The 11,576-nt window shown below is 38.5% G+C and overlaps 1 protein-coding gene across 1 annotated transcript; it reads left to right on the top strand.

Moving 5' to 3' along the window:
- The first annotated feature begins 8,919 nt into the window (after positions 1 to 8,919).
- On the top strand, positions 8,920 to 10,248 carry SPANXD (SPANX family member D). The gene is made up of 2 exons (NM_032417.4): positions 8,920 to 9,325; positions 9,973 to 10,248. Exons 1-2 carry the CDS (start codon positions 9,254 to 9,256, stop codon positions 10,192 to 10,194), a joined length of 294 nt encoding a protein of 97 aa, NP_115793.1. The 5' UTR covers positions 8,920 to 9,253; the 3' UTR covers positions 10,195 to 10,248.
- The last annotated feature ends 1,328 nt before the right edge of the window (positions 10,249 to 11,576 follow it).

Genomic DNA, 11,576 nt, shown 5'->3' with positions numbered 1-11,576 from the left:
AGACATGAGATTTGGAAGGGCCAGGGGCATAATGATACAGTTTGGCTGTGTTCCCACCCAAATCTCAACTTGAATTTCCACATATTGTGGGAGGCGCCTGGTGGGAGGTAAATGAATCATGGGGTCAGGTCTTTCCCATGCTGTTCTTTTGATAGTGAATAAGTCTCATGAGATTTGAAGGCTTTATAAGGCAGAGTTTCCCTGCACAAGCTCTCTTTTTGTCTGCCGCCATTCACATAAGATGTGATTTGCTCCTCCTTGCCCTCTGCCATGATTGTGAGGCCTCCCCAGCCATGTGGAACTGTAAGTCCAATAAACCTCTTTTTTTAGTAAAATTGCGCAGTCTCAGGTATGTCTTTATCAGCAGCATGAAGATGGACTAACGCAACACTCATTTTTCTCCCTGCTGCCATGTGAAGAAGGATGTGTTTGCTTCCTCTTCTGTTATCATTTGTAAGTTTCCTGGGGCCTCTGCAGCCATGCTGAACTGGGAGTCAATTAAACCTCTTTCCTTTATAAATAACTCAGTCTTGGGTATGTCTTTATTAGCAGCATGAGAACGGACTAATACACATACCAATAAATTAAGTTACAAAATGTCAAAATGTCTATAAGTTTAAATACTTCATAATGTAAAAATATAGATGAAATAAACATGTAAAAGAAATCTCTAAAGGCTATCATCCCTAAGATAAAGAGCAAAATAAAGATGTTTACTTACACCACTATTATTTCTCTTTTCTTTTGAAGTTGCGGCCAATAAAATAATATTAATAATGGCAGCAGCAACAAAAAACCCTTTATAGTGCTTATTATGTGATAGGCATTGTTCTAAGCATTTTGTCTAAATGAACTCATGTGATTCTTTGATGGTCCAAATCACCTTGTGTGGTAAGTAACTGTCTCTCAGTTTTAAAGAAAGTTGAGGTTAAGAGATGTAAAGTATCACAGCTGGTAAGCGGTGAAGCCATATTAAAATATATGAGCTCTAGTTCCTATAAATAAATAAACAAATGAATATACACATATGTGTAATAACAATGTGTAATTCCTTATAAGATATGTAATTATCTGTAGATTACATTCTTATATACCGAGAAAACGTGAGAAAATTCATTCTATATCTTTTTAGAACTAATTAGAGGTTCAGTATGGTAAAAAGTGGGCATATTTATTATAGTAAACAACAACAGAATGTATTTAGGAATAATCAAAGTAAAAATTTCTATTTTATGTAAATGTAATTATAATTTTTATTCTGTTCCAATCAAAATATTATTTAAAAATAAACTGGCAAAAGGACTCAAAGATATACCTGGAATAACAGGTGATACTAAGATACTTTTGATAAAGACGAATGAGGGAAGACCGGTCCCAACATCAATGCCATTATAAAGATAGAAAAAACAAAACACTTGGTATTGGCAAAGAGCAATAGCTAAAAGGAACACAGTACAAAGTCTGGATTTAGACTCAAGAATATATAATTTAGTATATGATAAGGCAGCATTTAAAATAAACACGGTCGTATCAAATTGGCATGTAATGTACCCCATCTTGAAACTTGCTACTATCTTGGCTTGTGTGTGGATAGCATATTACATTAATGCCGAGCAGATTAGTAACGCCGAAGTAGCTGGCGCCTAAATGGCTTAAACGCGGAGAAACCACCTACTGATGATGGAACAAAAACTGACCAATCAGATTATAGAGCGGGCTTTTTAAAATTTAAGAAGCTTCTTTGTAGCTAAACCAATAAGAACAAAGACACAACATACCAGAATGTCTGAGACACATTCAAAGCAGTGCGTAGAGGGAAATTTATAGCACTAAATGCCTACAACAGAAAGCAGGACAGATCTAAAATTGACACCCTAACATCACAATTAAAAGAACTAGAGAAGCAAGAGCAAACACGTTCAAAAGCTGGCAGAAGACAAGAAATAACTAAGATCAGAGCAGAACTGAAGGAGATAGAGACACAAAAAATGCTCCAAAAAACCAATGAATCCAGGAGCTGGTTTTCTTAAAAGATCAACACAATTGATAGACTGCTAGCAAGACTAATAAAAAAGAAAAGAGAGAAGAATCAAATACACGCAATAAAAAATGATAAAGAGGATATCACCACTGATGCCACAGAAATACAAACTACCATCAGAGAATACTATAAACACCTCTATGCAAATGAACTAGAAAATCTAGAAGAAATGGATAAATTCCTCGACACATACACCCTACCAAGACTAAACCAGGAAGAAGTTGAATCCCTGAATAGACCAATAACAGGTTCTGAAATTGAGGCAATAATTAATAGTTTACCAACCAAAAAAAGTCCAGGAATAGAAGGATTCACAGCCAACTTCTACCAGAGTTATAAGGAGGAGCTGGTACCATTCCTTCTGAAACTATTCCAATCAACAGAAAAACAGGGAATCCTCCCTAACTCATTTTATGAGGCCAGCATCATCCTGATACCAAAGCCTAGCAGAGACACAACAAAAAAACAGAATTTTAGACCAATATCCCTGATGAACATCGATGCAAAAATCCTCAATAAAATACTGGCAAACGGAATCCAGCAGCACATCAAAAAGATTATCCACCATGATCAAGTTGGCTTCATCCCTGGAATGCAAGGCTGCTTCAACATACACAAATCAATAAATGTAATCCAGCATATAAACATAACCAAAGACAAAAACCACATGATTATCTCAATAGATGCAGAAAAGGCCTTTGACAAAATTCAACAACCCTTCATGCTAAAAACTCTCAATAAATTAGGTACTATTGGGATGTATCTCAAAATAATAAGAGCGATCTATGACAAACCCACAGCCAATATCCTGCTGAATGGGCAAAACCTGGAAGCATTCCCTTTGAAAACTGGCACAAGACAGGGATGCCCTCTCTCACCACTCCTATTCAACATACTGTTGGAAGTTCTGGCCAGGGCAATCAGGCAGGAGAAAGAAATAAAGGGTATTCAATTCGGAAAAGAGGAAGTCAAATCGTCTCTGTTTGCAGATGACATGATTGTATATCTAGAATACCCCATTGTCTCAGCCCAAAATCTCCTTAAGCTGATAGACAACTTCAGCAAAGTCTCAGGATACAAAATCAATGTGCAAAAATCACAAGCATTCCTATACACCAATAACAGACAGAGAGCCAAATCATGACTGAACTCCCATTCACAATTGCTACAAAGAGAATAAAATACCTAGGAATCCAACTTACAAGGGATGTGAAGGACCTCTTCAAGAAGAACTACAAACCACTGCTCAACGAAATAAAAGAGGACACAAACAAATGGAAGAACAGTCCATACTCATGGATAGGAAGAATCAATATCGTGAAAATGGCCATACTGCCCAAGGTAATTTATACATTCAATGCCATCCCCATCAAGCTACCAATGACTTCCTTCACAGAATTGGAAAAAACTACTTTAAAGTTCAAATGACACCAAAAAAGAGCCCGCATCGCCAAGTCAATCCTAAGCCAAAAGAATAAAGCTGGAGGCATCACGCTACCTGACTTCAAACTATACTACAAGGCTACAGTAACCAAAACACAGATATAGCATGGTACTGGTACCGAAACAGAGATATAGACCAATGGAACAGAACAGAGCCCTCAGAAATAATACCACACATCTACAACTATCTGATCTTTGACAAATCTGACAAAAACAAGAAATGGGGAAACGATTCCCTATTTAATAAATGGTGCCGGGAAAACTGGCTAGCCATATGTAGAAAGCTGAAACTGGATCCCTTCCTTACATCTTATACAAAAATTAATTCAAGATGGATTAAAGACGTAAATGTTACACCTAAAACAATAAAAACCCTAGAAGAAAACCTAGGCAATACCATTCAGGACATAGGCATGGGCAAGGACTTCATGTCTAAAACACCAAAAGCAATGGCAACAAAAGACAAAATTGACAAATGGGATCTAATTAAACTAAAGAGCTTCTGCACAGCAAAAGAAACTACCATCAGAGTGAACAGGCAACCTACAACATGGGAGAAAATTTTTGAAATCTACCCTTCTGACAAAGGGCTAATATCCAGAATCTACAATGAACTCAAACAAATTTACAATAAAAAAACAACCCCATCGACAAGTGGGTGAAGGATATGAACAGACACTTCTCAAAAGAAGACATTTATGCAGCCAAAAAACACATGAAAAAATGCTCATCATCACTGGCCATCAGAGAAATGCAAATCAAAACCACTATGAGATACCATCTCACACCAGTTAGAATGGCGATCATTAAAAAGTCAGGAAACAACAGGTGCTGGAGAGGATGTGGAGAAATAGGAACATTTTCACACTGTTGGTGGGACTGAAAACTAGTTCAACCATTGTGGAAGACAGTGTGGTGATTCCTCAGGGATCTAGAACTGGAAATACCATTTGACCCAGCCATCCCATTACTGGGTATATACGCAAAGGATTATGAATCATGCTGCTATAAAAACACATGCACACATATGTTTATTGTGGCACTATTCACAACAGCAAAGACTTGGAATCAACCCAAATGTCCAACAGTGATAGACTGGATTAAGAAAATGTGGCACATATACACCACGGAATACTATGCAGCCATAAAAATTGATGAATTCATGTCCTTTGTAGGGATATGGATGAAGCTGGACACCATCATTCTCAGCAAACTATCGCAAGGACAAACAACCAAACACCGCATGTTCTCACTCATAGGTGGGAATTGAACAACGAGAACACCTGCACACAGGAAGGGGAACATCACACACCGGGGCCTGTTGTGGGGTGGGGGGAGGGGGGAGGGATAGCATTAGGAGATACACCTAATGTAAATGACGAGTTAATGGGTGCAGCACAGCAACATGGCACATGTATACATATGTAACAAACCTGCACGTTGTGCACATGTACCCTAGAACTTAAAATATAATTAAAAAAACTATTAAAAATAAGTAAATAAAATAAAATAAAATAAAATAAGCAGCAAGAATGTCAATTATTTAATTTCTTTGTGATTACTAGTTAACCATTTGTTAAAAACTAAAACGGTTTCTCAACTCAAATAAATGCAAGGATATATCAAATACTTTAAAACATTAAAGATGAAGTGTTAACATAAATAATTACTAGTGACTTAACTACTAAATATCTTTAGGTAGAGTGGTTATTTCTAAGCATATAATGAAAGCTAAGAAACATAAAAAAGGTTAATAGAATTAAATATAATATATAACCTTTATTTAAAAAAAGAACAAAATTTGTCAATGTATAAATAATAACTAAATGGGAGAGTATTTGCAATACCAGTAACAAAGGGCTAATATCTTGAAGGCAAAAAATCCCTTTCTACTAAAATATGATTACCCTCATAGAAAATTGCAAATATCAGTTAAAATATAGATGGACACTAAATAAGAAAATACTTTAAAATTTTAAGGTAATTAAAGATAATTCCTCATTTATCAAAAATTGTCGAGCACCTCATTGTATACAGATGCTGTTTCCTCTATCTGGGATGCTCTCTTCATAAATCCACTTGGCCAGCTCTTTCTCAAGATTAAATATCATCTCCTCATTGAAGAAGTTCCTGATCAAAAGCTTAATTTAAATATCTCCCCGAACAGTTTTCATTATAGCAACCATTACCATCTGACCTTATCTCACTCACTTAGTTGTGTTTTATTTGCCCCCTGAGGTTTCCCAAGGGTATGTGTAAATCCTCAGTGCCTAAAATAGAGCCTGATCCACAACAGACATTCAATAAACCTGTAAAAAATTGCCAAATGAATAATAGCTACCACGATTCCTTCCAGCTTCAAGATGTGATAGTGATCATAAGTAGAAATAGGGAAGCCAGGAAAGGTAAACTTGGGTAAGATTTGCCCAACTGTCTATTATACACACAATTGCAGAGTACCCACAAAACCAAGAGCATTGGAAATCTCTTTGCAAAAGGAATTATTTTCCCAAAATGAGTAAAATATTAGAGAAAAGTATATATTTTCAAACGATATATGTCATTTTTCTTATGTATTAGCCCCTCCTATGTGTCTAATTTAGCCTAATATTTATTATCTAAGCAACAATTCCAAACACTTGGTGGGAAATTTTTAGCAATATCTACAAACTCAGACCTACTCGACAGATTAGGAAACAGAAGTTTCCATGGTTTTATAGGTGATCGTGTGGCTGCATTTTGCAATTTAAATTTAAAAAATGTCTTGGTGATAAACAGACACCTAGAGCTTTTGTCTGATCAACTGGAATAAAATGTGAAAACTTTCTATGGAAACCTCAGGGGAACGAAGGTGAGGTTGGTGATTTCACTGTGTTAGCAAATGGAAATGCACTGGGAGTGATGACGAATGTTATTGTCTGTGTTCCTGGGAGATAACACAATTGCATTCCACTGGCTTTTAATGAGTTTTCACTTGAGATACAGTGAGTACATTTGCATGTCAACTACAGAGACCAAAAATATATTTCTTGTCATCACTGCAGGAGGAGAAATCATTTCTGTGCTGTATAAAGTAGAAGGAAAGTAGGTTCACGTACTGCCTTTTGTATTAATGATAAATAATTGAGTTCAGTTAGCTTGTTCTTACACAATCTGAGGAAGAAGAACTGAGTACAGTGGCTCCCATTTTGTAACAGTTTGTTATTTTTTTCTGGGATGACCTGAAGCTAAGAACATGGGGGTAGAGACATGTCTCATAATTTTTTCTTTTTTTTTTTTTTTTTGAGGTGGGGTCTCACTCTGTCACCCAGGCTGAGAGTGCAGTGGCACAATCTTGGCTCACTGCAACCTCCCCCTTCCAGGTTCAAGCAATTCTCCTGCCACCACGCCCGGCTAATTTTTGTATTTGTAGTAGAGACAGGGTTTCACCGTGTTGGCCAGGCTGGTCTCGAACTTCTGACCTCAAGTGATCCACCTGCTTCAGCCTCCCAAAGTGCTGGGATAACAGGCATGAGCCACAATGACAGGGCCAAAATTTTTTCTTAAAGGTCTAAAAAAGAGTTTTCTTCCAACATAATATTCCGTACACTGCAGATGGTCTTTTATTTTGCTTATTGGTAACTGGCCTAAGAGATTTTACATTTTATTGAAATAATTCCTATGTCATTATTATAAACTTCTGGATTGCTTAGAAAAAAAACATAAAAAATTTTTTACTTAAGGTCATTACATCTGTGTAACTTTCTGTATGTGCTTTTAAAGTCCTTGTGCCATTGAGTTATAGGGCTTTGACTTCTGGGTCTAAAAAGGACACCAAGTTCTGCTATATCTTAAACACTGACAGCAATTACAGCCTCATCTTCAGGCCCAGTAGAAGATGCTAATCAAAGTAAACTGCGTTCATGAGATGCAGGGCCAGAAATTAAAACTATTCAACTCCTCAAGGCCCAAGGACTATCGTGGAAGAGGTGGGCATGTGAGATTGTAAGGGCTGATATTAAGAGAAAAGTAGCTCAGTTTCTCTAGGAATTAACCATTAATATCAAAGGCACACTAAAGCAAAACCAGTATCTAGGTTGCTGTGTCAGTTTAACAAGGCTTTCTTGGAGCATTAACTCACTCCTTCATGCAAAATGATAAAGGTTACAAGGTTTATAGAAATTATATTTTATACTCAAGATGATTAAACTTTTATTATAAAATTTCAAAAAAACAAATTTCATTTGCCCATCCTGTTTTTAATTAGGGCTTATTGTTTGGGATATTAAGCCTCCTCTCTCAAAGAATAAAGATTTTCACCTTTTTTTTTTTTTCTTTTTTGAAATCTTTGAGTTACTGCTTTGGTTAAATGAATGACTTATTTTACAATGACCCATGACCCTATTTCGTGATATCAAGCATTTTAAACTTTTTATCTTTGACGAACTTTCCAAAGTCAAATTCTAACTTGATTCCTCATTAATTTTTTGATATGAGTCCTCTGAAGTCCAAAAGAGACATATTGGTCTTATTTGGTATAAAAATCATACAAGAAGCATCGTCAAATATAAAATGGTGTTTGACTTTCTTTGGGCTGTATTTATAGAAATGTTATTGATATGTGCTCCAAAATTATGGGAAACTCATAATTCTGAAATAACTTCTGTATGTTATTAATTATAAACTTTATGTTAAATTGTTGTATGCTACAGAAGTAACCAAAATTTACTTGTCAATGGTGGTTTTAATAATGGCCGTCCTGGCTGGGTGTGGTGGCTCACGCCTGTAATCCCAGCACTTTGGAGGCCAAGGCGGGTGGATCACGAGGTCAGGAGTTCAAGACCAGCTTGGCCAAGATGGTGAGACCCCCGCCTCTCCTAAAAATACAAAAATTAGCCGGGCGTGGTGGCACAGGCCTGTAATCCCAGCTACTCAGGAGGCTGAGCCAGAGAATCACTTAAACCCAGGAGGCAGAGGTTGCAGTGAGCTGAGATCATGCCATTGCACTCCAGCCTGGGCAACAACAGTGAAACTCCATTTCAAAAAGAGAAAAAAATATACACCCCTGATTTGAAACAAGACTAGGATACACGGTAAAGAATGTTTATTCACTAAAGTTTTGACAGACTGAAGGCCATTATTTCAGATTGGAGATAGGAAACTTGAACTACACGGACATTGGGTAAAAGAACATGGGTTGAAATTTGCCTGGCAGTAGCCCAAAAGTAAATGGTCTTCGAGGTGCATGTGAAGGAACTGTAGGAGGGAAATGGGATAATTCACATCTCCGCCAATAAATAAATGTAGCCACACTAGCTTGGGGGATTTGAGGTGAGACATCGAAAATACTAAGTCATGGTGAGGGCTGGAAGACAAAAGAATGAATCACTTAATAGGAATGGCTGTGGGGAAGGGCTTGAAGGAATCATCCTCTGACTTCCATGTGAACCGTGAACATTAAACATGGAGAAATGAGGAGCGGCGGCAGATCGGTTTGGGATGCATCTTCAGGGGATGCTGAAACAACAGCAGCATTTGGTTTGCTCTACACCCCTGTCACCCCTCGCCCGCAAGCCCAGGGAGTGGTCAGCAGTGGGGCTTTGTGACGTCGAAGCCACCCTAGGGCTGCCATTGGCTGGGACACTGCCTGTATGATCAAACAAAGCTCAAGGGTGTGGCTTTGCCTTGTCACCAGGAGGGTATACATAGGGAGGGCAAGAGCTCCGGGCCACTGAGAAGATTCAAAACCTACAAAAGCCTGCCGCTGACATTGAAGAACCAATATATACAATGGACAAACAATCCAGTGCCGGCGGGGTGAAGAGGAGCGTCCCCTGTGATTCCAACGAGGCCAACGAGATGGTAAGACTGTTAGGTTCTGAAGTGAAGGCGAGGGTGAAAGAAAGACACACAGAGCGGGGGCGGCTCAAACAACAACACAGGAATATTGCAGACCATTGTGGAAGTGGGGGGCCCGCTTAATGCCAGAGCCCACCGCCGCTTACAGGCTGGGGTGCTTGTAGGTAGGGGTGGGAGGGGCCTGGGCAGTATGGCTTGCTGCCCGGCAGGATATTGATAAGATGTTCTTATGATCAGGTGGTTTGGCCCTTTTTCTGGTGGAATATCATTGTGGTGTTCCTTAGAACGCTGCCAAGCAAGATATGATAGGGATGTTTCTTCAGTTGGGCCTTTGTCCGCCTTGCGGACAGGTGGTTAGGCAGGATGTTTCTCACGGCCTGAACCCCCATGGGATGTTTCACTTTGACCAAGGTCTGCAAAATAGCAAAGAACTGACAAAATGGTGCAGTTTGGACTCACAGGTGACCCTACCCACGCTCCTCTTCTTCTTCCCCATAGATCCCTACTCTGTGCTTCAACCTTCTTCTTCTCTGGATCAAACCCCTTCCTCAACCCGCATTCCTTCTTCTCATGAAGCCCCCTTGCTATCCAGTCTCTATCCTGTTCACCCAAAATAATGTCCTCCTGGCCTCTCCCTGTTTTCTTAACAGATGCCGGAGACCTCGAGTGGGTACTCAGACCCGCAACCTGCTCCGAAAAAACTAAAAACATCTGAGTCCTCGACCATACTAGTGGTTCGCTACAGGAGGAACTTTAAAAGAACATCTCCAGAGGAACTGGTGAATGACCACGCCCGAAAGAACAGAATCAACCCCCTCCAAATGGAGGAGGAGGAATTCATGGAAATAATGGTTGAAATACCTGCAAAGTAGCAAGAAGCTACATCTCTCAACCTTGGGCAATGACAATAAAGTTTGAGAAGCTGATGGCTGTGTATATCTCTGCCTGTTTTCTGATGGTGGGGGGTGAAGGGAAGGGAAGAGGTAGGCATTTGAGAAGGGAGGGATATGAGGTCCTGTAGGGTTGGTGGACAGACCCACAGGTTGACAGTAAGCCAGACATTGTAAATAAGGCCTGGGGGAGGACTGATTCCTAAAGAAAATTTTCTTCTTAAAATTTTATCTCACAGGAAGTGGAGATGTGTATATGTTCACGCAACTGTACCCAGCAGCACATAGTTCTGCTGAATGGACATATCAAAGGTATTCCCATCCCCTTTCCATTTGATATTTTCCTAGGCTAGAAATAGATGCTTTATAAAGAGTAAATGTTCTGTAAAACACAAAGCACAATACAAAAGAAGATAGTAGATGTAGGAGTAAGTAAACGGCAGGAAAGCATTGCTTGTGATGAAATGATTGAAAAGCCAATTCTAAAACAAAATGTTCAATGCATCTGAAATATTTGTTAGTGTTTTAATGACCTCAGCAGTCTTTAATCAAGATAAGTATACTTTAGAAATGTGTTGATATCCGCGAAGTGTGAATATTCAAAATCGCCATGACTTGGGAAAAGGAAAGTAAAACACTCTTAAGTATGAGGAACTTTTTCCCATGGAATGTGAACTGCAAGGTGGTGAGAAGGGTTAGGTGTGATGTGGTGAGATCATTTTTAGGAGAGTGTGTCTATTATCGGCTTCCTAACACTTCCATTTTGCATGATAATTTCCTGAAATTCATCATTTAATTAAGGCTATAGATTTTGATTACAATGTGTCTTAAAATGTCAAACAGTATAATATTTATACTGAAAAATAAAACTGCTTGGTGGATACACATCGGTTAGCGGGAAAAGACACCACAGGGATTCACCATGGAGTCACCCGTGGATGGGGTTTTAGTTTCTGTCTTTGAATTGACCTTCACATAGTGTCTACCTCTTGAGAGTTCAGGGGATGTTGGAGAGATCATTAGGTAAAACAAGAAGGTCTTCTCAGGATACATGAGGGAGTTAAATAGAAATGCAGGAGCAATTACAATTTTAGTTATTTGTAACTGTTGTTTGCTAAGTCATAACACTGTCATGGATAACATGAAAAAATAAAATATACTAAATATCAATAGACAAAAACCAGTTTGCTTTTCTCCAACCAAATACCTAAATACCTAGCACTGATTTCCAGAACAAAATCCCCACGTACCATCTTTGGAATAAAAGAATATTCTTTCAAGTTGTCGGACCACAAGGTAAAAACAAAAAATCCCAGTGCTTTTTTTCTTACTCTTTGATATGTACAATTGAAGGTATTCCTCAT

Source organism: Homo sapiens, chromosome X (genome assembly GCF_000001405.40).
Source record: "Homo sapiens chromosome X, GRCh38.p14 Primary Assembly".
Lineage (NCBI taxonomy): Eukaryota > Metazoa > Chordata > Mammalia > Primates > Hominidae > Homo > Homo sapiens.
This window is presented reverse-complemented; position numbering and strand designations above follow the sequence as displayed.

Bases quoted from the DNA above. Each gene is read 5' to 3' on its own strand.
- SPANXD (NM_032417.4), top strand. From the start codon at position 9,254: ATGGACAAACAATCCAGTGCCGGCGGGGTGAAGAGGAGCGTCCCCTGT. The intron at 9,326-9,972 runs GTAAGACTGTTA...TTTTCTTAACAG, and splicing joins CCAACGAGGCCAACGAGATG to ATGCCGGAGACCTCGAGTGG.